We start from the raw sequence: 27,585 nt of genomic DNA on the forward strand, positions 1-27,585 counted from the left end.
CATTTTCTATTTTGGAGATAGTTTCAGAGAAAAATGGACAATGGTCATCCCCTAAGGTTTTGGTCTACTTATCCTAGGAGATGCTGGGGTTTTTGGTATTCATTGGGTGTATAGTATGGACAATACATTTGATAGTTGGTAAGATAATGGAAACGATGCTCTTCAATTATTAAACTCTGAAAGTTAGACAGCACTTTAATGGGACCTTTATTCTAAGGAAAAAAATTTCCCCTCTGGATATTATTTTTCAGCATAGTTCCTTCACTCTCTATGCTTGTTTAATGACTGCTGCTTAAAATTCTTTCATTTCTTATATATTTAGTGGGACAAATGGAGAGAATAATGGTCAGAATAGAAATAATAATCTTTTCCTGTTTCACACTGTTCTTTCTTTTGGGAACAATCACAAATTGTGTTTGAAAGCAGAATGTTCATCCTTTGAAGAAATACTGGGCTTGAAAACCATCAGAGTAAAACTGCGTTTTTCTCAAGGAAAATGACTAACTGTCTCCTGCTCTAACATTGCCTAGAAAATGCCATTATAGTTTAAAGTAAATAGCAAGTACATGCATTCGAATAACTCCTGTGGGTAGGTGGCATTTACTCTCCAAGCTGAACCCAAATAAAGTTTTCTTTATGGATTTCTAATTTTATAATGTTCTTGAACTCTTATCTTTTAATGGGTATTATTCAGAAAGCAAAAACAATAACACGGGTAATTAGATACATTTTGAGGTGGAATATTAAGTATTTCACTCAGGAGGGATTTTATTTAATTAAATTGACTCATCATGAAGACTTGAAGCAATCAATTTTATTTTTACAGGGAGTACATTCTTGTTGTTAGAAATCACCTTAATATAGACCCTTCACAAGTCAGAGAAATTTACCTTTTAGCTTTATAAGACACACGAACTATGCTTGTAAGCAGGAATAGTGTGGTATCCCAGGTACATGTTTTATACCTGCATTATTGAACAGTAATTATTTGGTGATTTTAATTTCCATCATGAGTTGAAGCAAAACTTTTGATTTTATTAGGAAGTGAGCTATTATGATGCAACAAGTTATTATAGGATATTATGGCAATTGTTTTTTATGTAATGCATTAGGGGTTAAATAAAAAAAGAGTGGATATTAGAAAATTCCAGTTAGAGGGAGGCGGAGGTTGCAGTGAGCTGAAATCACACCACTGCATTCCAGTCTGGGCAACAGAGTGAGACCCTGTCTCAAAAAAAAAAAAAAAACATCTGGTTAAAGATATTGGATTAAATGGAGACTGAAACTTCCTGTCACCCTTTAAAAACAAAATCACTTCACTGAGTATGATGGGCATGTAAAAAGCTGTACATATTTAATGTATACACCATGATGAGATTGGAGATAAGTGTACACCTGTGAAACCATCACCACAATCAATGCTGTAAACTTTTCAGTCATCTCCAAAGACTTCCTCCTTCCCATCCTTCCTCTCCGCTCCCATCCTCCCTCACTGTCGCTCCCTCCCTCCCTTCCTCCATTCCTCCATTCCTCCATTCCTCCCTTCCTTTCTCTTTTCCCTCCCCTCCCCTCCTCCTCCCTCCCCCTCTCCCTCTCATGGACACAAGGCGGGGAACATCACACAATGGGGCCTGTTGGTGGGGGGTGGGGGGCTGGGGGAGGGATAGCATTAGGAGAAATACCTAATGCAAATGACAAGTTGATGGGTGCAGCAAACCAACATGGCACATGTATACCTATGTAACGAACATGCATGTTGTGCACATGTACCCTAGAACTTAAAGTATAATTTAAAAAAAAGCAAAAATAAGAAAAAAAATAAGAAAAAAATTATATTCTTAAGAAAAATACTTGTGACATGTTATCAAAGAAATGAATTAGACTACATGAATATATTCTAAGAATAATTATTCTGATTTTTAAGCGTTTAGATACTATAAATATTTTTATACTATTTTTCATGAATATATGCTAATTGTATTTTTATAAATCTTTTTTTGAAAATAGGTTTTGAAAGGAGCTATTTCATAGGTTTACCATCATAATGAAACAATTCATCAGATGGTTTTAATAACTACACAATTATAATAATTGTAGCACCACCTTTTATTCACCAAAATGTCCAAGTTGGTACTGTAATTGTACAGTTACCCTACTAATGCAAAAGCCAAATAAAAAGAAAGTAAAAGACAATAAAAGAGGAAAAGAGAGCCAAAATTTGAAGAAGATGGAAAAATTTGGGCACATTAAAACCTGAAAACATTTAGCAAAAGAAGGTATCATAAAGTTGAAAACAACTGGTAGTCTTGGGAGGACAATATGTGCAACATATATCACAGACAGCCTATGTATCAAAAGAAGAATATGAACAGCATATACAGCATATATAACACATATGATATATGAAAACTCCTTTTGCTGGCAAGCAAAAGACCAGCAACCTAATATAAAAACAAAATGAACCAGAACACAAACAGCCAATTCACATAGGGAAAAAGTGGAAGAATATCTTCATTGCTTTCAAGTTTTGACAATTATGAATAACATTGCTATAACATTCCTGTACAATTTTTTTGTGTGTACAAACATTTTTAATCTATTTAAGTAAATACCTAGGAGGACAGTTTCTAAATTGTATGGTAAAACTATGTTTAACTTTGTAAGAATTTCCAGATTCTGCCCATCAGCAAAGAATGAGAATCCACGTTACTCTGTGTCCTCACCAACACTTGGCATTGTCAGTGTGTTGGATTTTAGTAATTTTAATAGATGTGTAGAAGTACTACAAATTTATTTTCAGTTTTCTAATGACAGATGATGTTGAGCATCTTTTCCTGTGCTTATTTGCCATTTTTATAACTTCCTTGGTCAGGTCTGTTCAGATCTTTTCTATGTTTATTAACTGGGTTTTTTTTAAATTGTTGAGTTTTATTTTTGGAGTTTATTTATTGGAGTTTTAGAGTTTATTTTGGAGTTTATTTGTTGAGTTTATTTTTGGAGTTCCTTGTATATTTTGTATACCAATCCTTTATCAGATATATATTTTGTAATATTTCTTTCCCCTCTGTGGTTTATCTTTTCACCATCTTGGAAGTGTCTTTTGTAGAGTGAAAATTTTCGTTTTCATAAAGTGCAACATGCACATTTTTTTTTCTCATGGATCATGCTTTTGGTGTTGAATTTAAGAAGTCATCACCATACCCAAGTCACTTAGATTTTATCCTATGGTATCTCTTAGGAGTTTTTAATGTTTTACCTTTAGGTCTGTGATTCATTTTGTTTTGGGATAACCTGCCCCCAATATTTCAACATAGGTTCTTTCTATTTTCCATGAGTGTCGGCTGGCTGAGAAATAAAGAGAGACAGTACAAAGAGAGGAATTTTACAGCTGGGCTGCCAGGGGTGACATCATATATTGGTAGGACCATGATGTCCACTTGAGCCTCAAACCAGCAAGTTTTTTATTAAGGGTTTCAAAAGGGGAGGGGGTGTAAGAACAGAGAGTAGGTACAAAGATCACATGCTTCAAAGGGCAAAAAGCAGAACAAAGATTACATGCTTCTGAGGGAACAGGACAAAGGGCAAAGCAGAACTACTGATAAGGGTCCAACAAAGATCACAAGGCAAAGGGCAAAAGCAGAACTACTAATAAGGGTCCAACAAAGATCACAAAGCAAAGGGCAAAAGCAGAACTACTGATAAGGGTCTATGTTCAGCGGTGCAAGTATTGTCTTGATAAACATCTTGAATAACAGAAAACAGGATTCGAGAGTAGAAAAGTCATCTGACCACAGATTTACCAGGGTGGAGTTTTTCCCCACCCTAGTAAGCCTGAGGGTACTGCAGGAGACCAGGGTGTATCTCAGTCCTTATCTCTACCGTATAAGACAGACACTCCCAGAGCGGCCGTTTATAGACCTCCCCCCAGGAATGCATTCCTTTCCCAGGGTATTAATATTAATATTCCTTGCTAGGAAAAGAATTTAGTGACATGTCTCCTACTTGCACATCCATTTATGGGCTCTCTGCAAGAAAAATATGGCTCTTTTGCCTGACCCCACAGGCAGTCAGACCTTATGGTTGTCTTCCCTTGTTCCCTAAAAATCGCTGTTATTCTGTTCTTTTTCAACGTGCACTGATTTCATATTGTTCAAACACACATGTTTTACAATCCATTTGTACAGTTAACACAATTATCTCAGTGGTCCTGAGGTGACATACATCCTCAGCTTACAAAGATAACAGGATTAAGAGATTAAAGTAAAGACAGGCATAAGAAATTATAAAAGTATTATTTGGGAACTGATAAATGTCCATGAAATCTTCACAATTTGTGTTGCTCTGCCGCGGCTCCAGCAGGTCCCTCCATTTGGGGTCCCTGACTTCCTGCAACAATTTTGAGTTAATTTTTATGAAAGTTTTAAGGTCTGTGTCTATATTTATGATTTTGCATGTAGATATCCACTTGTTGCAGTACCATTTGTTGAAAAGACTGTCTTTCAACGAAAGATAGTCTACTATTTTGGATCAAATTCTGCTAAATTGAATTTCATCTAGTTTGTTAACTTCCTTTCTGTGTCTTTTTCATGAATATTTTAAGTGTTTGAATTGCCTTTAGTCCTTTGACAAAGATCAGTTGACGATATGTGTGGGGGTTGATTTCTGGGCTACTTTGATCGAATTCTCTATTTGTTCTTTTACTGATACCATACTGTCTTCCTACTGTCTTCAGTACTGTACCTTCATAGTAAGTCTTCAAGTCATGTAGTGTCACTTTTCCAACTTTGTTCTTTTCTTTTACATTGTATTAGGTATTCTGGACTTTTTGTCTTTTCACCGAAACTGTAGAATCTGTTGGCTTCCGAAAAATAACTTTCTGGGGTTTTAATTGGGATTACATTGAATCTATACAACAAGTTGGGAAGACTGACATCTTAACAATATTGAGTCTTCCTTTTCATGTACATGCAATGTCTTTCCACTTAATTAGGACTTCTATGTTTTCTTTCAAGAGAGTTGTGTTTTTCCTCACATAAATCTTGTACATATTTTGTGATACTTATGACTATTTCATTTCTTTGCTAATACAAGTGGCACTGTGTTTTAATTTCATATTACAATTGACCATTGCTGGTACATAGGGAAGCAATTGACTTTAATATATTAACTTTATATCCTGAATTCTTATTAGAATCGCTTACTAGTTCCAGGAGTTTATTGTTGCTTCTTTGGGGTTTTCTACATAGAAATGATGTCAATGATGTCATCTGTAAACAAAGACGGTTTGATTTCTTCCTTCATAATCTATATAATTTTAATTTCCTTTTCTTGTCTTATTGCACAATCTAGCACTTCCAGTGGGATGTTGAATAAGAGTGATGAGAGCAGAAATACTTGCTTTATTCACAATTATGGTGGAAAAGTATTTATTTTCTCAATGTTAAGTATGATGCTAACTATGGGTTCTTTTGTAGATGGCCGTTATCAAGTTGAGGAAGCTTCCCTCTGTTCGTAGTTTGTGGAGAGTTTTTTTTTGAAATCACAAATGGGTGTTGGACTTTCACAGATGCTTTTCTGAATATATTGACATGATCCTATAATTTTTTTCTTTAGCCTGTTTATGTGATTGTTTACATTAACTGATTTTTGAATGTTGGTCCAACATTGTATCCTTGGAATAAATCTCACTTGGTCATGGTGTATAATTGCTTTTTAAAAATAAATTACAGGATTTGGTTTGCTAATATTTTGTTGAGACTTTTGTATTTATGTTCATGCTATGGATTGGCCTATAGTTTTCCTATTTAGTAATGTCTTTGTTTTTATATTAATGTTGGTTTCATAGAATGAGATGTGAAGTATTCCTTCTAATTGTTTGCTGGAAGAGATTATAGAGAATTCATATTGTGTCATCCTTAAATGTTTGGTAGAATTCATAAGTGAACCCATCTTTGCCTGGAATTTTCTATTTTGGAAGGTTATTAATGATGGATTCAATTTCTATGATAGATACAGGCATATTCAGATTGTTTCTTCTCATGTGAGTTTTGGTAGAATGTGTTTTCCAAGGAATAGGTTCATCGCAATGTAAAAATGTGATTATAGAGTTGCTCATACTATTTTTTTATTATCCATTTAGTGTCCATAGGATTAATCATGTTGACCCCTTTTTCTTTCCTGATATTAGTTATTTGTGTCTTCTCTTTTTATTCTTGGTTAGCCTGGCCAAAGTTTTACCGATTTTCTCTGTTGATTTCCTACCTGTTTTATTGTTATTGATTTCTGCTCTAATTTTTATTATTTCTTTCTGCTTACTTTGGATTTAATTTGCTCTTTTCTTATAGTTTCCTAAGATGGAAGCTTAAATTATTGATTTGAGGTCTTTCTTTCTATAATATGCATTAAATGATATAAATTTCCCTCTATGCACTGTTTCATTGCATTCTGCCTAATTTGATTCTTTGTATTTCTTTCAAACTCATAATTCTCTTTTGTTCCCACCAAAAATGACATGCAACTTTGATTTTAGTTGTGAATACAAATTTGAGAAAGACAGTAGGGCTGATCAGTTGTGAAAACTTTTATTTCAATAAGTTCAATGAGACCTATAAATGGTTAGTCATGCCTATAGTTTGAGTTAAGAATGAAGCCTGTGATTCTTAAGTTTTACATAGGCCACCTCCAGATGTATGTGCTTTCAGTCAATTGGTTTTGAGTCTCAATCTCATGTTGCTTTTGTGGAAATAATACTTTTATTGTCTTTAGAGTTCACAGATTATCGTAATTCATGTACAAAGCTTCTAAAAAACCAAATAATTATTTTTAATAAACTAGTCATAAGTATAATGCATCAGAAAATAGTCTTTATCCTTATTGTAAATTTTTATAGCTTTCTTTTTAAAGATGTAGAAACGAATCTTCATGCAGTATGAAAGAAACACATATAATTGGGTCATTTTCTCCAATAATTCTACATAAAATACCATCCAAGTTTAAAATTTACTATGGAAAGAGAAATTTCAGTTCTGAGTATCCGAGACTAGTGCTGGTTAGTAGTGCTTTATTTTAGATTTGTAGTAAGTAAATGTCCTCTCTTTTCACCTTTATTCCAGAAAACCACATTCTCAGGCATAGCACATCTTGAACTATCTTGATTAGCTTCAGTTGTCAGACAACCAAATGTGTAAAACACGCATAGAAAAGCCAGTTTTTTCCCTTTAGGATAATCTTTTCCATTATGAATTTGTGTGACCTCTACCATATTTGAGCTTAAGATTTCTCATAGGCTGTTAAATGCACTTGCAAATGTCACTCACATGCTTCATTAAGTAGAAAAGTTTTTGGAATGTGATTACAATTGTGTAACTCTCTGTTGGAAAGTCCTATGCCCTGTGAGATATGCATGTTCAACAGTAAGAACAAGATGTAGAAAGTGGCTGGAGATGGGGGACTGGTTGAGAAAAGCATGTAGTCTAAAGCTGTAACATCCTGGCTATTTGCAACTTCTCCATGAAGGTAGAAAAAAGCAAAAGTATATGAAATTGTAAACTCATGGAACCCCTCCAGATAAGTTAAAAAAAAAACCCAAACCAAAAATCTCCAAACCCAAATGAACTTCCGGAGTGTACTCTCTCTCTCTCTCTCTCTTTCTCTCTCTTTCTGTCTCTCTCTCTGTCTGTCTTTTTTTGAGACAGGGTCTCACTTTGTTGCCCAGGCTGGAGTCCAGTCGTGTGAACATGGCTCACTGCAGCCTCGAACTCTCAGGCTCAAGCAGTCCTCTTGCCTTAGCCTCTCAAGAAGCTGGGACCACAGGTGCACACCACCACACCTGGCTGACCAGAGCTCTTCCGTACTCCATATTATGTCTAGTTTATGCTCCATCTACTATTTTGGCTCAAATTCTGCTAAATTGAATTTCATCTAGTTTGTTAACTTCCTTTCTAGGTCTTTTTCATGAATATTTTAAGTGTTTGTTTACTTTTAGCTTTTTTTTTTTAAGATGAGAAAGATACCACTTGTAATTCTTTAGGTAAATTGTGTCTGTGTTCATGCACACTAGACTCATATTGTGTGATTTCTCTAAGGACAACATTGCAAATTTTTGTTACTCTTCTTATCCAAATTAACTCTGTGGAGTCACAGGAAGTACATACTTTTTGAAAACTTTAAAAGGAGATAGAATTTTATCTCACTTCCATGTCCTAACTTTGTTCATGTAACTATTTCATCTGTGGCTATACTGATGCCACCTAACTTGAAAAGGAAATGAAAAGTAGGCATTCACAACATGATGATTTGCCAATCAAGCCTATTTTTAGTAGTCAGTAAAAATTCCTGACTGAATATCTAATTTAACAAAAAGCAAATGAGCTATGAAGATTGCTGAGAACAGGTAGTTTAAAATTATCAGTCATAATTGGCTTCTAGTGTCTCTCTTAATGTAACAATCCTATTCTGTCATTTTATAATAGTGGTTCTCAAACTTTAGTATACGTCATCTTCAACTAAGCAGTTTGTTAAAGCACAGATTGTTTGACTTCATTTCTAGAATTTATGATTTATGGAATAGTGTATGGGTTGGATAATTTGCATATCTAACCGGTTCCCAGGTGATGCTGGTCTGGGACCACAGTTTAAGATCTACTATTCTAAGCAGTAAGATCAGTCTCTTCCCGGACCTCCCTGCAACAGCTAATCGGAAACGATTTACGTTATTCTTTTTATACTTAACAATGTTGGTTGCTTCTTCTCTGAAAGGATTATTTTGAAGATTTATTATTCCCTCTCCTGAAGATTAGAAGTTAAGGAGAGGGCAGTTTTGTCACTTAGAGGTTAATCTTGAGAACACACAAAAAAATTGTACCACATACAGAAGCCATCTCTCTCATGTAGGGGACGCCTTCAATTTTGTTTCAAAGTTCTCTACATTTTGTATATCTTTATGCTTCTTTATTGTTGACAAATTAAAAATCCATATTCATACAAATAAAACTATTTAAAACTATAAATGAGTATCAGTACCAGATTCAGCCAGAGAAGCCATAATATTCCACATAGAATTTTGAAAATCCAAATGGCCATACTGCCCAAGGTAATTTATAGATTCAATGCCATCCCCATCAAGCTACCAATGACTTTCTTCACAGAAATGGAAAAAACTACTTTAAAGTTCATATGGAACCAAAAAAGAGCCCACATTGCCAAGTCAATCCTAAGCCAAAAGAACAAAGCTGGAGGCATCATGCTACCTGACTTCAAACTATCCTACAAGGCTACAGTAACCAAAACAGCATGGTACTGGTACCAAAACAGAGATATAGATCAATGGAACAGAACAGAGCCCTCAGAAATAATGCCGCATATCTACAACTATGTGATCTTTGACAAACCTGAGAAAAACAAGCAATGGGGAAAGGATTCCCTATTTAATAAATGGTGCTGGGAAAACTGGCTAGCCATATGTAGAAAGCTGAAACTGGATCCCTTCCTTACACCTTATACAAAAATTAATTCAAGATGGATTAAAGACGTAAATGTTAGACCTAAAACCATAAAAAACCTAGAAGAAAACCTAGGCAATACCATTCAGGACATAGGCATGGGCAAGGACTTCATGTCTAAAACAGCAAAAGCAATGGCAACAAAAGCCAAAATTGACAAATGGGATCTAATTAAACTAAAGAGCTTCTGCACAGCAAAAGAAACTACCATCAGAGTGAACAGGCAACCTACAGAATGGGAGAAAATTTTTGCAATCTGCATATCTGACAAAGGGCTAATATCCAGAATCTACAATGAACTCAAACAAATTTACAAGATAAAAACAAACAACCCCACCAAAAAGTGGGCAAAGGATATGAACAGACATTTCTCAAAAGAAGACATTTATGCAGCCAAAAGACACATGAAAAAATGCTCATCATCACTGGCCATCAGAGAAATGCAAACAAAACCACAATGAGATACCACCTCACACCAGTTAGAATGGCAATCATTAAAAAGTCGGGAAACAACAGGTGCTGGAGAGGATGTGGAGAAATAGGAACACTTTTACACTGTTGGTGGGACTGTAAACCAGTTCAACCATTGTGGAAGTCAGTGTGACGATTCCTCAGGGATATAGAACTAGAAATACCATTTGACCCAGCCATCCCATTACTGGGTATATACCCAAAGGATTATAAAACATGCTGCTATAAAGACACATGCACATGTATGTTTATTATGGGAGTATTCACAATAGCAAAGACTTGGAACCAACCCAAATGTCCAACAACGATAGACTGGATTAAGAAAATGTGGCACATATACACCATGGAATACTATGCAGCCATCAAAAATGATGAGTTCGTGTCCTTCGTAGGGACATGGATGAAACTGGAAACCATCATTCTCAGCAAACTATCACAAGGACAAAAAACCAAACACTGCATGTTCTCACTCATAGGTGGGAACTGAACAATGAGAACACATGGACACAGGAAGGGGAACGTCATACACCAGGGCGTGTTGTGGGGTGGGGGGAGGGGGGAGGGATAGCATTAGGAGATATACCTAATGTTAAATGAAGTCAATGAGTGCAGCACACCAACATGGCACATGTATACATATGTAACAAACCTGCACATTGTGCACATGTACCCTAAAACTTAAAGTATAATTTAAAAAAACATAAAAAAAGAATTTTGAAAATCCTATCAAATAACTAAATAGTCTCACTTTTATGTCTATATTTTTGACAGAATGTTAAAAGGGAATTCCACCTTTGGCTTTCTGAGGGTGCTTCTCCATTTTCTTAGACAGTGGTCTCAGTTGCTTCCTGTTATAAAATAACACTTCAGTAAATTTCTGTAGTGATTGCTCCTTCTACCTTTGCAGACTTCTGTTGTCTAGAGGACAGATATCAAACTCAGGGAAAATGATGGAGTTAAGTGTGTATGTTTAATCTCAAGTGATAAATGTACTGTTTGCTTACTGCTGTAGGCTATAGACATCTCTTTTTATATGAAGGCAGCCAAACACATACCCAATTTAGAACAATTTTATTAATCCACTCTGTAATAGTCTAATCTCTACAAACCTTATAAATTACAGCTTATATTGTCAGAGGAACTCGGAAATTCTTTAGGTGATAATATTTCTTTCCATGTGAAAAAGCTTGAAATAATTACAACATTAAAATTATTTTGGCTGGTCGCAGTGGCTCATGCCTGTTATCCCAGCACTTTGGGAAGCTGAGGTGGGTGGATCACCTGAGGTCAGGAATTTGAGACCAGCCTGGCCAATGTGGCAAAACCCTGTCTCTACTAAAAATACAAAAATTAGCTGGGCATGGTGGCACGTGCCTGTAATCTCAGCTACTTGGGAGGCTGAGACAGGAGAATTGCTTGAACTCAGGAGGCGGAGGTTGCAGTGAGCTGAGATTGCGCCACTGCCTCCAGCCTGGGTGACAGAGCAAGACTCCATTTCAAAAAAAAAAAAAAAAATTGAGGAGAAATAGTGTATATTTCATGTCATTTCAAAGCCTTATATTTTTAATAAGTTCAGGGTTTCTTTTAATAGGTTAGATAGATCTAAATAATTCAAAAATTGGATTCACTGCTTTTGTATTTTTACAGGGTTCCCTGTGGCATATTATAAAAATGGCTACAGATTTATTTCACCCCTGTATGTGCATTACTTTATATTGTGACTTTCCATTTTCCTTCCATAAAAGGGTGGAGGCTGTTTGTTGATTCTTTGGCTCAGAACATGGCATGCAAATTACTTTGGACAATGAGGAAAATATGTCACAGGGATAAGCTTTTAAAATGCCATGCAGTGGGGCTTGCTTTTTGCTGAATGTGGAACCTCAGATACATCATATGAATGAACATAGGCTATCCTGTTGGAAAATTGGAAGCAATGTAGAAGAGAACTGAAGCATCTTGGCTTCTCTTGAGCTAACCAGCTAGATATGTATGTTAGACCACCCTAGACCAAAGATCAGCAAACTATGTCCCGTGAGTTGAATACAGCCCATCAGCTGCTTGTGCAAATAAAGTTTCATTGAAACACAGCCATGTGTATTTATGTACGTATTGTCCATGGCTGCTTTTGCACTAAAGCAGCAGAGTTGAGTGGCTGCAAGGGAGACCCTATGGTCCATAAGGTCTCGTACAGGCAAGGTTTGCTGACGTCTGCTGTAGATCTTTTAGTCTCAGGTAAGCTGGCCCAAATCAGAAGAACCATCCAGCCAGCCCACAAAATCATAAAAAATAATACATGGTTGTTGCTTAAAGCTGCTAAGTTTTGGGGCGTTTTTTTTTAATGCAGCAGAAACTGATACTAACTGAAACTAACTGATAACTAACTCCATCCCTACCACCTCAACCCCAAGCTTTACTTTTATCTTTCTTAATAATGCCCATTCTCTGATGCTCTTAAGCTTGGAGGTTTGGCCCATAAGCTCAGTGAGTATAAGAGGTGAAATAATCTTGGAGATTATTTCTTGGCTCCAGTTTGCAGCCAAGAAAATAAAACCCAGGGAGAGTAACTTAAGGCTGCAGAGATAGTAGTCTTTGCCAACTGACTGGGAATAGGCATTTCACTTGTGCAATTCAAACCTTTCTTCCTTTCCAAGTTGATTGTAAAAATGCCTTGATTTGATTATCTGAGGAAGTGATTCAACATTCGTTTAGTTATTCTTAAGGCAACTTGATCTTCTTTTATATTATTTTTTTCTAACAGGGGCTTTGAAAATAGGGGGATGTAATGACTTGTGGTCACTGAGAATTCTGCTACAATGGTGTTTGAGAGGACTGATTTAGGGAAGTGACACTTCATCTTTAATCACATCCAAATGGGCAGCTTGGTCTAATGGCTATGTATAATTTTTTTTTTTGATTGCTTGTTTCCCAGTTTCCCTGAGTAACTCTGATAAACTTCAGATATATTATTTTATTAATTAGATAAATTCATTAACTGGTTTGCATTTACCTTTCTCAAAAACCTTTATTTGGATTGTATGGCAGACACTTGGGGTGCAAATTGTCACAACTCTTTTGTCCACTTGATTTCAGCACTAAAGTCGTGGACAGTTCCCTCCCCTTGTCTGCTTTCTGCACCAAGTACTCTGTAGGCATACACTGTTCTGCTTTCTTGAAACCTGGACAAGCCATTCAGCTGCAAGCAGGTGCAACCTTGAAGTTCAAAGAGAGGTCATACACTGGGGCAATCCTTCATCAACAGAGGATGTGCGTTGATGGAAACATGACCCAGAATCCCTCTACAGGGACATTTGGAGGCTTTTTCTCCACAGTTCCTTAGAGGGTTTCCCACAGGACTCAGCTAAATGGCCACCTGCTTCATTGCACACCTTGTTAACTTGTTAACATCTTTCTCACAGGAACGGACTCCAAGATCTTATTCAGTTATTGCATCTAACTCCATGCCCAGTGTCTTTGGATGATGTGTAATTTTTCTCCCTCAAGTATCAATCTGGTTCCCCATAGTTCACGTTTGTAGAGAAAATAGATCTTAATCTTCTTTTTCACATACACATTAATGGATTACAAACGCTAATCCATTACTATTGTCTACACATTCATAAAAGGGGAGAATGGGAAACACTTTATTTCCCTAGAAAGGAACAATGAAGACTTTTGCTAATTAAGGAATGAATCATGAAAGGCCAGAGGAAGGAGGGGTGGTTCTGGAGGAAGGAAGGAAGGATGAAAGAATGGCTAATGTGTAGACAGCCAGTGTAGACAACCAATGTAGACAACCAATGTTGTATATCTGCTGGTATACCACAAAAGTATTTTCTATTTTGTTCTATTGAGATTTAAAAAATCTGATTTGTATCAAATGACTTTTCAGCATCTATCAAGGTAATCCTGTGCTTTCTATTTTACTTATTAATACATGTATTGGTAGATATATTAATATAAAACTAGTAACAAGCTCTATTTGTTCATTATATATTATACTTTTAATACATTTCTGATTTGATTTGTATGGTATTTATTTAGTCTGTTTGATTGTATTACATGTCAGATTAATCTGACATTTTTTGTCTGTTTGCTTATCGCCTGCTAATCTTATTTTCAAGATTGTTTTAGCTGCATAATAAGAATTAGGGTGCTTCACATTTTGTCTATTCCTGGAATATTTTAAACAGTATGGGCATTGTCTAGTTTTTGTATCTTTAAAAGAACTCAGCAGCAGTACAGTTTCATTGCAGTGGTTTTTGTAGAGGTTATTTTTAATAACCCAGAAATTAAGCCCAGTACCCAGCAGTGATCTTTTCTGCTCTTCTCCCTCCTCCCACACCCTACCCTTAAGTAGACCCTAATGTCTGTTTCCATCTTTGTGTTCCTACGTTCTCATCATTTAGCTGCCATTAAGTGAGAACATATGGTATTTGGTTTTCTGCCATTTCGTTATTTCTAACGAGATTATATCATGGTATTCTTCAGCAACTTGCTTTTGATTATGTGGCCTTGGGTTGGCCAATTAAATCCTCCCCTCTTGGGTGTAGTATATGATTTTCCTCATTCCCTAAATGATTTCGTGATAGTCTGTTGTTGTTTAGTTTGGTTAAATGTTTTCCTTTTTTTAAAGTTATACTTTAAGTTCTGGGGTACATGTGCACAATGTGCAGGTTTGTTACATAGGTATACATATGCCATGGTGGTTTGCTGCACCCATCAACCCATCATCTACATTAGTTATTTCTCCTAATGCTATCCCTTGCCTACCCCCGACCCCCAACCGGCCCCCGTGTGTGATGTTCCCCTCCCTGTGTCCATGTGTTTTCATTGTTCAACTCCCACTTATGAGTGAGAACATGCAGTGTTTTGTTTTCTGTTTTTTGTGTTAGTTTGCTCAGAATAATGGTTTCCAGCTTCAGCGATGTCCCTGCAAAGGACATGAACTCATTCTTTTTCATGACTGCATAGTATTCCGTGGTGTATATGTGCCGCGTTTTCTTTATCCTGTCTATCATTGATGGACATTTCAGTTGGTTCCAAGTCTTTGCTATTGTGAATAGTGCCGCAGTAAACATACTTGTGCATGTGTCTTTATAGTAAAATGATTTATAATCCTTTGGGTGTATACCTAGTAATGCGATTGCTGGGTCAAATGGTGTTTCTAGTTCTAGATCCTTGAGGAATTGTCATACTGTCTTCTACAATGGTTGAACTTATTTACACTTCCACCCACAGAGTAAAAGCATTCCTAGTTCTCCACATCCTGTCCAGCATCTGTTTTTTTCTGACTTTTTAATGATCACCATTCTAACTGGCATGAGTTGGTATCTCTTTGTGGTTTTGATTTGCATTTCTCTAATGACCAGTTATGATGAGCTTTTTTTCATATGTTTGTTGGCTGCATAAATGTCTTCTTTTGAGAAGTGTCTGTTCATATCCTTTGCCCACTTTTCGACAGGGTTGTATTTTTCTTGTAAATTTGTTTAAGTTCTAAGAGCCAAAATTAACAAATGGGATCTAATTAAACTAAAGAGCTTCTGCGCAGCAAAAGAAACTATCATCAGAGTGAACAGTCAACCTATAGAATGAGAGAAAATTTTTGCAACCTATCCATCTGACAAAGGGTTAATATCCAGAATATTTTCATTTTAAAGGACAAATAAAGATTTCTTTCTATGACAAGTAGGATGTCAATGGAAACTTCGTGTTTGTGCTGGTACTAATTTCTAATATTTCTGTGGAATGGTCTCCCAGAAGCAGACTGGCTGGCTTAAAGTTCATTCACATATAAAGTTTTATATTTCTTCCTAGCTAAATTGCCAATTTATATTATTTGTCCATTTTTTCTGTTGAGATACTTGTCTTTTTTTTATAACTTTATAGGAACTTTTGATGTAATATAGATATTATTTGCTTCATAGAGCACATATAGCTTCAGTGTTTTTGTAGATTTTAATCTTTGCTTATGGTATTTGTGTTAAACTGAATTTTAATTTTGGTGACCTTAGTGTTTATGGTTCTCATCTTGCTTACAAAGTTCTTCACCTAAATCTTATAAATTATTACTGTATTTGTTGGAATATTTGTTTTGTATTCACTATGTTTAGTTTTAATGAGTACAGCTTATTTTTTCTCAAATAGCCAGTTGTCTGATAGCATTTACTGAATGGCTCTCTATTTCTTTATTGATAAGAATTTATATATCACATTCTCAATGAATATGAAAGTATAAGCGTGTGTTCATTTTTATGCTTATTTCTGAATTAACAGCAAGCCATTTTAATTACTAAGTCTTTATTGTAAGTTTTGAGATTACTTGCTTTTTTTGTTTCAAAAATGTATAGGTTTGCCTTGAGTACTTACTTTCCCTTATGAACTTTAAAATCAGTATGCTATTCCCCAGTCAAAAAATAAATATGTATTAGAAATTGGATTGAGATTGTATTTACTATAAAGATTTGGAGGATTTGTTCTAGCCATTTTCAGATTGTTATTACAGCATAAATAGCCAGTCTCCTTGAAATGCATTAAAATATTGGTTAAAAGAAAATAACACTCTACATAAAACTAGAGTGTTATTAAAGTTTCCCTATGAATGTATGCAAACTGCAAAAGCAAAATAACCATTTAAAAAATAAATATACGGTATCTTTTTACCTTCTGCAAGATTAATTTTGATCTTGAATATTATAGAACTGATGAGGAGAATGATAATTTTAAGCTTGGCTTCATTTTGATTCCATAGTTTGGAGTTTCTACATCTGAAGACTACTGTCACAGATATATTTCTGTAAAACTGAGAATGTAAATGAAAACTCAAAATTCCATTTCTGTGGATGCATGTCAGTATTGCTTTTTTTCTGTACTAATTAAAAATGTCAGTATATAAGGTTAGTTACATATTATGTATCAAATTATTTTGTTGACAGTATAGACTTCTTAAGTACATATTACAATGTAATAAAGTGGATTGGCTATAATTTTTTGCCATGTACTCTATGCATAGTTTAAAGGAAGTTATCTCTTACTTCCTAAGGTTAACTGCTATTAATATTGAATATTTTCAGATAGCTTTCTTTTAATTTACATGTGTATGCATAATATGTCTGTATTTCTCAAACACAGTGGTATCTGAATATATATATGGTGTGCCACCTCAATTATTTTACTTATATTTTGGGAGAATGTTTTATGTTAGAACACATAGGTATTCCATTTTCTTTTTAACATCTAAATATAATTCCACATAGTAGATTATCATAATATATACAATTTTTTAAATTGAGTCACTTAAGTTATCTTAATTTTTATTATTATAAGCAATGCTTTCATAAATGCTTTTGTGCACATATTGAAGTATTTCTGAGGGATAAATTTATAGCAGCGACATACCTGGATCTATGTTTGTGCACATTTTAATGTTCTCCAAAATGGTTGTGATATTTTACATTCTTGCCAGTAGTATAAAGACATGACAACAGTAAATTTTATCAGTTATTAAAATTTATGCTAGGCTGATGATAAATTTGAATTCCTATGTTTCCTAATGATTTTATCATTTCAAATGTTTATTTGAAATTTGTATTTCTTCTGTTAATTTCTTATTCATATATCCCAGGGACATTTATATTTATTTAAAAATAATTTATAGGTATTCTCTATACAGTATAGTTAAGAGATTTTTGTGATTCAAAATTTGGCTTTTTAAAAGTCAAATTATAAATTTTTATGGTATTGGGATTTAGTTTTGTTTAAGGCCTTTCCTATCAAAATATAATTTCCTAGATTTTCTTCTAAAAGTTTATATTTTTATTGTTTACATTCAGATGTTTATTTATTATTATTTTTTTGAGTCAGGTTGTCACTGTCATTCAAGCTGCAATACAGTGGCTGCAAGATCATGGCTCACTGCAGCCTCAAACTCCTGGGGCTCATGTAATCCTCCCACCTCAGCCTCCTGAGTAGTTAGGATTACAAGTACACGCTATCATGACTTACTAATTAGATTTTTTTTTTTTATTGTAGAGATAGGTTCTCACTGTGTTGCCCTGGTTGTTTCTGAACTCATGGGCTCAAGCAATCTTCCTGTCTCGGCCTCTCAAAGTACTGGGATTACAGTTGTGAGCCACCACTGCCAGCACATTTAGATCCTTAGTATGGCAGGAATTTATTTTTCTAGATGAGTGATATAGAGATCTGTCTTTAGTTTTTTAAGTATATAGCTGACTATTTTAATGCAACCCTCCCTAATTATCTGAAATGTCACTTGCTTATATATGAATTCCTTGTATGTGCATAGGTCTGTTTTGCACTGTTTAGGGTGATTTATCTACTTCACTGTTCCTTGGGGTTCCAAAACTTTCTGTTATGTTTTGGTATTTGAGTAGTCAAGTGAATAATTCTTTATTCTTTTTTATTTCTTTAAGATTTTATTGCCTATTTTGTCCATTTACTTTTTCAATTGAATGTAGAATAACTTCGGAAAGTTCTATAAAATGAAAGTTTGCATTTGATTAAAATTACATTGGTTTGATAGATTTATTTAAGAAAAATAAATAGGCTTATGGTACTTTTCCCTTCAATCCAAAACATGGTGTTCTGGTGTTCCTCTCTCTGTGTTCTGGTCTCATCTTATGCCCATGAATAAGGTTTAAATATAATAACTTTGTTTATATATCTCTTGAATATTCTCATGTTAATTCTTAAGTATTTGCTAGTTTTTGTTACTATTATAAACTGAATCTTTCTTAAACTAAAAAGAGTGCTTCAGCCAAAAATTGTTGTGCACTTGCTGAAATACTCAACTGCTATTATGTCTAGTTTGCCATTCTCCAAATACATTTTAAGGTGGAAGTGGTTTTGAAAATTGTTTAAAAATCAAGGATCTAGTATTTCATTTTTCTGTCATCAAAAAATCTTGTCTGTTTGATACTTGTTTGAAACTCTCAATATATGCCATTTTCATTCCCTTTTTATTCTATCTTATTATTCTATATTCCATGTTTTGTCTGTTATTGGCACTCATCAGAAGTCATGAACTTTCCATGCATCTATCAATTTTTCTCTATCCTTTGGGGGAAAGAAATTTATCATACAGAGTACAGTAATTTTATTGTACTTAGGAACATCTTACTTCTTTGAATGTCTTATTAGAGCTCCAGAGTGAGAACTGTAAGAAAAATATGACTTGAATAACCATAATTTTTCCAACCTTTTTTAGTGCCTCCTCTCAAATGTGTCACTACCAATGCAGTGTTTGTGGCATAATAGTTGTAAACAGTTGTTTATTTATAAAAACATTTTAATCCAAATTTTTTTGGCATCTTATATATCATCAATATACTTTCTATGCTGTGGTATTTCTAAAATCTTGGACATAGTTATTCTGGGCATAGTTATTTCTTGGATATGGCCTAGAAAGTAGCATTTGGATATTTCAAATCTGTTGACTAAATGGCACAAGTTAAATTGAAGCCAAGAGTTCTACTAAATTTAACCTTAATTTTACCTAAATTTAGTATTACATCGGCTGTTATTGGCACTTAGGTTTCTTATGCCTTATAGTCTTAGCCACTAGTATATAAACACCAAAACACAATTCTTGAAGATATAAAAATGAGAACTCATGTTTTCAAGCACTTAATCAATTCGAGGTACATTTAATTCCTAATGTCCACACTATTCTGACTTTTTTTTTTTTTTTTTTGAGAGAGAGAGTCTTTGTCACCCAGGCTGGAGTGCAGTGGCGTGATTTCGGCTCACTGCAACCTCCAGCTCCTGAGTTCAAGCGATTCTCTTGCCTCAGGCCTCCTAAGTAGCTGAGATTGCAGGTGCACACCACCATGCGCAGCTAATTTTTGTATTTTTAGTAGCGATGGGGTTTTGCCATGTTTCCCAGGCTGCTCTCCAACTCCTGACCTGAAGTGATCCACCCGCCTCAGCCTCCCAAAGTGTTGAGATTATGGGTGTGAGCCACTGCACCTGGCCTATTTTCTGACATTCTAAGTGCAGTACAATGTAGAGTCTTTAAAAGTGTGGATAATGCATTTCCATTTTTAGTTGTTAAGGAACACCCATAGTGAAAGGGTAGTTTCCCTCAATTATGAAACATTAGGTTGTGATGTTATATGCAGAAATTTTATTTAATGATAAACATAACAGCTTGGGATTTGACATGGTGACAATGGCTAGAAAAGTGCAGCTTAAGTGCTTTTCAAGCTGTGCTCGCTTCATTCATGCAGAATTGCTGTCTTTGCTGACTTCTGGTTTCTTGCTTAGGCGCTGACAAGAGAAAGTATCTGTCTGTAGTTTCTAATGCTAGTGTTAGTCTAATCATAAAGCCAGCACACCTTTGTCTCATATAACACAAAGTTATTAATCAGCTCCCCAGTGTCTCTTGTAGAAAGAATAAGAGGAAGTATTTTAAAAATACATATTCTATAAATATATTCTTATTGCCCATTCTTAGAGTTTTCATTTGTTGAGCATCAGTGTACCAGGTAATTTACAGACTTCTACAATCTTCATAATTATGGTGTAGGATAAATTTTTTTCCCTAGTTTACAGAAATGACTATTTTTTGTAGTTGTATGTGAAAATTATAGAACAGTTTTGGGGATCTGCACAATGTTATGTTCTCACACAGAGAATTTGCCTTTGTTTCTTGTATGCAGGTAATTTGAAGAAGAACAATTCAATCTCTTTGGGAATTAAGTTGATTTGCAGCTCTATTTAAGTTTCTAGAAGAGCTGTTCTATATCTAGTTGCCCTTTCTCCAATAGCATAGCCCTTCATGAGTCCCAGCTGAAAGCTAGGAGTGTTTACTAAGCTCCTTCCCTCTCCAATTTTTGTTTTCTCAGTCTCATGAACCACTGAACTCCCTGCTGAACTCTGCTCACCTTTTCAGCCTTTGAGTTGCTGCTTCCTGTGTGGCTTTTTAGTCTGTCAGCCAGCACTTTAAAAAAAAATCTATGTGTATAAATAAAACTACCATGTGACCCAGCAATCCCACTACTGGATATTTGTCCAGAGCAAAGGAAATCAGTATATCAGAGATATTTGCACCCCTGTGTTTACTGCAGCACTATTCACAATAGTCAAGATTTGAAATCAACCCAGGTATACAATATCAGATTAATGGGTAAAGAAAATATAACATATATACACAGTGGAATACCATTCAGCTATAAAAAGAATGGAATCCTGTCATTCCTGTCATCCCTGCTAACATGGATGGAATTGGAGGACATTACGTTGAGTGACATAAGCCAATCATGGAAAGATAAATACAGCATGTTCTCACTCATATGTGAAAGCTAAGAAAGTTGATCTCATGGAAGTAAAAAGTAGCACAGCGATATTAGAGGCTGGGAAGTGAGAGGGGAGAGGGGACATAGGGAGAGATTTGTTAAAGGAGACAAAATTACAGCTAGTTAGGAGGAATAAGTTCTAGTGTTCCATAACACTGAAGGATGGCTGTAGTTAATAATATATATTTTTTCAAATAGCTAGAAGAGGCTATTGGATGTTCCCAAAGCAAAGAAATAGTAAATATTTGAATGATGGTTATGCCAGTTACCCTGATTTGATCGCTATACATTTTATGTATCAAAAATACACTATGTATGCCATAAATGTGTACCATTATTATGTGTCAATTAAAAAATAGAATTTTTTAAAAAAGTCAATGACTTGAGGAAAAATATGATGAATTTGGGAGTTACTGTTCTGTACTTCCCTTCTCTCAGGGATGTCAGCTGTCAAGTCCTTGAAACTTTGGTTGCACATTGCCTTCAGGTTTTAAATTAATTAGTTAATATTTTTTATATCCAGGATTTCTAGTTGTTTTCAGCAACAGCTAGCCGATTGCAGGTAGTCCTCTATAACTGTAAGTGGAAGTCTTTCCTGGAATCCTTCTTCTGGAAGCTTATTGATTTTGTTCTGGAAACAAATTCCAGTATTATTTTGAATCACATTGATTTGGTTATTGTCCGTATTTTACCAATAACAATTCACAGTCCATGAAAGCTGGAAGCATGTAGTGCTTCTACAGTATTTCTCTTACATGGTAAGCTTTGTCCATCTGACAGGCAGTTGACAGGTACCCACTTCCAAGGCTGCTGCTGCTAATGTATAACTAGCACAATGACACACAGTAAAATGTTATAAGAATTCAGGAGCATTTCCCAACCCATCTTCTGGTTATAATTTAGAATATACTAGATCTTTAAAAACTTTAAAAAAAATTTTTTTTTTGGGGAGACGGAGTTTTGCCATGTTGTCCAGATGCAGTATTTTGAGCCTATTGTGTCTATAATGTAAAGACAATTAGAAAATTTGACAAATTATCCCATATTAGATAATCCCTTGTCATGAATTGCATTACCCTGACTGACATTTTTCTCAGTAGGTGAACCATGAGGCACTAGATGAAACAGTGATGATTAAAAAGGGTATGTATTAGAATCACTTGGAGGGTTTGGACTATAGATCACGCTTCAGGTCCCATCCGGGGAGATTCTGATTGAATTGATCTGGGGTGAGATACAAACGTCTTCCACTTCATATTCCTGATCCTCTGATTCCTACTTAGCCAAAGTGTCCTCTTCTCTGTAATATTTTCTTTTACTTCCCTGGACTCTATTTTTTCTCTTCTCTGAATTTCCAAGTTTACAATACTCCCAGGGCTCTTATGTGTGTACTCATTTCTTATTAAATCATCTTTTTTTCTTAATTCAACTTTTAATGTTTTTACATTTTTCATTCATTTATATTCAGTCATATATCCCAACTGATGTTTAGTATATTTTATATTGTTATCATTATAGTTTTTCTTGTGTCATTCATAATCAAATCGTATGGTCTTACCTCACCACCTAAACTGTCAACCCTTTGATTAGGGACTGTATCTCATATTTATTTTGTAAAACGGTAGACACGGCCCTGTCCCTGGTGAAGAAAACATTCTTAAAGATTAAAAACAAGCAAAACAAACAATATCATCCAGGGAAAAGCACTACCTTTATGTAAGAAAATACTTTGATAAGCCACTTATAATTGAATGTAAGTATTTCATGGTGGGCCACTAAGGCTGAAGACTACACCTCAGATAGTCAATGCAATTGCTAAATGTCTTTATTTTTATTTTTAGAGATAGGGTCTCATTCTGTCATCCAGGCTGGAGTGCAGGGTCACAGTCTTGGCTCACTGCAGCCTTGACCTCCTGGGCTCAATTGATCTGACCACCTCAGCCTCCCTAGTAGCTGAGACCACAGGTGCATGCCACCACATCTGGTTAATTTTTGTATTTCTCTTTGTTTAGAGCGACGGGTTTTCATCATGTTGCTTAGGCTGACCTCAAACTCCTGGGCTTAAGCGATCTGCCTGCCTCAGCCTTGCAAAGTGCTAGGGTTACAGGTGTTAGCCACTGCACCCAGCCTTTACTTCAGAATGGAGAGAAATGCAGGGGTGATGGAAAAGCAAAAAACTAGATAAGACAGAAGGAAACTGAGAGAGAAAACAAGACAATGGGGTGTGGCTGAGCAACCAGCTTAGTCAGGTGCCTGGAGAAATTTTAATAAAAGGGAATCCTTATTCAATCTTAAGTTATCTTGCTACACTTAAAAAGTAATAAACTCTCTGTTTCACCTAAGAAATCAGTAAAGAAGTTTGCTATACGTTACCCTATAAAACGTACCATTTAGTTTAGTTTTTTTTCTTTATTTCCTTATGAATGAAACATGGGCAAGTGAATGCAGTAGATAGGATGCTGCTTGAACTGAGCTAATTTGGTGAAAGCCACACCTTGGAGTCAGAACTGACCACTTGTCAGCCCCTGTGTAGACATCTCAAATATGCAATATAATACAGATAATTCAAGCCAATTTCATTTAAATGTTAAATTATTTAAGCTTTAAGACTTTAAGAATTAAGATCTTAAACTACTGCATGGGCTATAGAAATAACTGCTTTTTCTTAGCTGGTGTAAGGAACATGTGTATATATTTACGGCAAACTGCCTGGGATTAAATCCTGGATACACCATATTACCTTGGGAAAGTTACCCAGTTTAATTCTGCCTCAGATTTCTTAACAATGGAAGTAATAATAGTCCCAACCTCAGAGGGTGGCAATGAAGATAAAAATGAGTTAAGACACTTAAATCCTTTAGCCAAGTCCCTGAATGGCACATGCAGGAATGCAAACAGTGTTAACAACCATTATCATTTTACTGCTGTGGTGTAGTTCTCAACCCTGCTTTGCATCAGAGTCACCTGCGGTATCTGAAAAAATGTACATCCTCAGGTTCTAGCCCACACCGATTAAGCAACATTTCTGGCATTGGAAATTGGGCATGCATAGAAAAAAACCACAGGGATCCTGAGAGACAGTCAACTCTGCAGAGCACTTCTGGGATATGTTTGCAGGTAGCAAAATGTGAAGATAAGTGTGAATGGTGAGATCCTATAGAAATTAGATCACTAGAGACACATAACTCAAGCTACCAATCCCCAAACTCATTAATATCAAAGTGAGTACTGTCCAAAAGTCTTTGGCTGTCAAATGGAGATGTGAGAAACCAGCTGTTGAACACCTTTCTGGGTCTAGCTGGAACCCAACCTTGAGGAAAGAATGTTTGTCATTCCAGCTGATTCTTATTGAAAGAAAATAACATTTTTCTCTCTGCTTTGAGAATGAATTCAAGGATCCGGAGAACATAATTGGCGTCTATGATGATGAATGTTTACATGACAATTCTGAGCTGTCTTTTCTTCAGTGTGAACCTAACTGTTATTGCTTTATAGGATTTTGCATTTTAGAAGAATAGAATGACAGTAGCAATTATGTCATGACCTCAGGAGGAGGTAGACTTTTCCAGATAGTTGTGATTTTTCTGGAATCCCTCTTGCCTGACATTGACTGTTACACAGCCACTATTTGTGTTGCTCAGTCTGACACCTGACCACAGGTACATGCTTGTAAGTTCTTGCTCAGATTCTTCAATAATTCTTTATGATTGTGTTTCCAGGATAATAAAGATGAACCCTGTGGTTGGCATTCAAGATTCTCTAGTGTGAGTCTCAGTTACTTTACTCTTACTTTAGCCAGTTGAGCCTGTTTCTGTATACCAAACATTTGGGAGATAGAGATGATGTGATTGTTACACTTAGACTAGCAGACTCAGCTCTTCTCTCCTGACTTTCCCTCTGTAGCCTAATGATAGGCCAGCGATAGTAATAAGAAGGCAAAAACTTGTCTTAGTAATATGGATTTTAGGCACAACCATATACAGTATCTATCAAATTATCATTTGGAGGAGGGCAGACGGCTATAATGGTTAAAACCATGTACTTTGGAGATAGATTTTGCTTCAGGATGTTCCTTAACCTCTTCATGCTTCTATCTGTAAAATGGGGATAAATCGTAGTAAGTAATTCATAGATACAGGAGAAGGAATTGAGTTTTATTTTTCTTTCTATTTTGTTTTATTTAGTTCTAGTTTATTTTAATTTTATTTTGTTTTACCTATGGAACAGTGCCTGTCACATAGTAAGTCTTATATTGGTGTTTGTTAGAGGGAAAGAAAAAGTTACAGCGGTGGAAGTTCTTAGCACAATGGAGTCTTCCAAGCATGGCTTCCTCTACTGATTCTTGCCTAGTATTAAGATGTTAGACTCTGATCTTAATGTTTGACTTATTCTTTACCATATTGATTACATACTTATTCTTTACCATATTGATTACATCCTGGGTTTGTCAAAAGTGAAAGGAATAATTCTTACCCTTGTTATTTTAACCAGTATTTTTTTTTACTTTTATCTAAAAGGGCATTTTTTACAACTATTATAATTTTTCTAGAGTATAACCAAGTCCTACTTGAGTATTCCCTCTTTGCTACTTTCTGGAGGAATTTTGGGTTTCATATCTGGTTTCTAAAGTACAGCAAAGAAAGGAAAACTAGAGTCTTATGCTCTGCTGGTGTGTCCTTAATCTTTCGATCTCTCCTCAATTCCTGTGTTTGGGTCATTTTATAGTTTCTGCAGAACTAGAACTTTGCTGCTTAAAATCATCCCTGGACTCTTAGTCATTGGCCAGCCCAAGCATGCTGTTGGTTCTTGATATGATTTGGTTGTGTCTCCACTCAAATCTCATCTTGAATTCCCACATGTTGTGAGAGGGACCCAGTGGGAGGTAATTGAGTCACGCGGGCAGGTCTTTCCTGTGCTGTTCTCATGATAGTGAGTAAGTCTCACAAGATCTGATGGTTCTATAAGGGGGAGTTTCCCTGAACAAGCTCTCTCTCTTTGCCTGCTGCCATCCATGTAAGATGTGACTTGCTTGCTCCTCCTTGCCTTCCACCATAATTGTGAGGCCTCCTCAGCCACATGAAACTATAAGTCTATTAAACCTCTTTCTTTTGTAAATGGCCAAGTCTTGGGTATGTCTTTATCAGCAGCATGAAATGGACTAATACAGTTCTCCACTCATATTTTCCACTCTTATTTCCTTACTACATTAGTGCCTGCCATCAGACTTCCAGACACTGTGGCCTGCTGGAGGACTTCCAGAGGACTTTCTCTGCTGCTAAAGAATGCACCTCTGCCTGTGCCCATGACTGGCCCAAAGTGCAGGAGAATTGACATTGCCCAACCAACGACTGATAAATATACCATGTTCCTTCCTTCTCAGGTTAAATCTAGGGCTTTTCCAGTGGGATTGAGCTCTAGAAACTGTCTCTATTGAATGCCTCATCATCCTTCACTGACTTCTCCACTCCCTAACTGTTGTTCTTTCCCTCCGCAAATAAAAGACTTGGACTCCAATACTTATATCAGCTTCTGCTTCTGGGGGAACCCATGCTCAGGCCTACATGTTCTTCCAATGTGTAGCATAAAGGTTGGAGTGATAAAGTCCAATTTGATCTGTTTTGCAGGTGCAGCAGGTACTGGGGACTGGTTGCCACCATTACAGCATTAGTTGGTGCTATAGACTGAATGTAAGTGTCCCCTGAAATTCGTATGTTGAAACCCTAATCCCCAATGTGATGGTATTTGGAATTGGGGCATTGGAAAGTAATTAGGTCATGAGGGTTGAGCCCTCATGGAGGGATTAGTGCCCTTGGAAGAAGAGGAAATGACAAGAACCTCCTTTCACCCCCCAGTCTCTGTGCATGCACCAAGCAAAGGCCATGTGAGGACATACCAGGAAAAGGCCCTCACCAGACACCAAATCTGCCAGCACTCCAGTCTTGAACTTCCCAGCTTCTAGAACGATGAGAAATAAACTTCTATTGTTTAAGCCACCCAATGTAGAGTATCTTGTTATAGTGGTCTGGAATGACTAAATCAGTTGGTGACGGAAGTGATATGGGAGATAACATCAAGTAAAGAGTTTATATACCATGTAAAGAGCAAAAGTGCTTAAGGGGCCAGGTGCGGTGGCTCACGCCTGTAATCCCAGCACTTTAGGAGGCCGAGGCAGATGAATCACCTGAGGTCAGGAGTTCAAGACCAGCCTGGCCAAAATGATGAAACCTCATCTCTACTAAAAATACAAAAATTGAGCTAGAAGTGGTGGTGTGTGCCTGAAATCCCAGCTATTTGGGAAGGTG

The 27,585-nt window shown here is 35.9% G+C and overlaps 1 long non-coding RNA gene across 3 annotated transcripts in view, besides 1 other annotated feature; it reads left to right on the plus strand.

Annotated features, from left to right (window-relative positions):
- The window catches only part of LOC105376440 (uncharacterized), a 126,250-nt gene extending 98,969 nt beyond the window's left edge, over positions 1-27,281 (plus strand). For all 3 annotated transcript variants that reach the window (XR_930721.2, XR_930720.2, XR_930723.2), the window contains 2 exons: positions 26,908-26,970; positions 27,136-27,281. This is a non-coding gene — a long non-coding RNA (uncharacterized LOC105376440). The remainder of the gene's footprint in view (positions 1-26,907; positions 26,971-27,135) is intronic.
- Positions 12,994-13,194: a silencer, noted in NCBI's record as "peak892 fragment used in MPRA reporter construct". NCBI's record gives its function as "represses an SCP1 promoter by STARR-seq MPRAs in K562 erythroleukemia cells {active_cell/tissue: K562}" and the evidence as "EXISTENCE:reporter gene assay evidence [ECO:0000049][PMID:32103011]".
- Positions 27,282-27,585: the final 304 nt, after the last annotated feature.

Source organism: Homo sapiens, chromosome 10 (genome assembly GCF_000001405.40).
Source record: "Homo sapiens chromosome 10, GRCh38.p14 Primary Assembly".
In the NCBI taxonomy this organism is placed as follows: domain Eukaryota; kingdom Metazoa; phylum Chordata; class Mammalia; order Primates; family Hominidae; genus Homo; species Homo sapiens.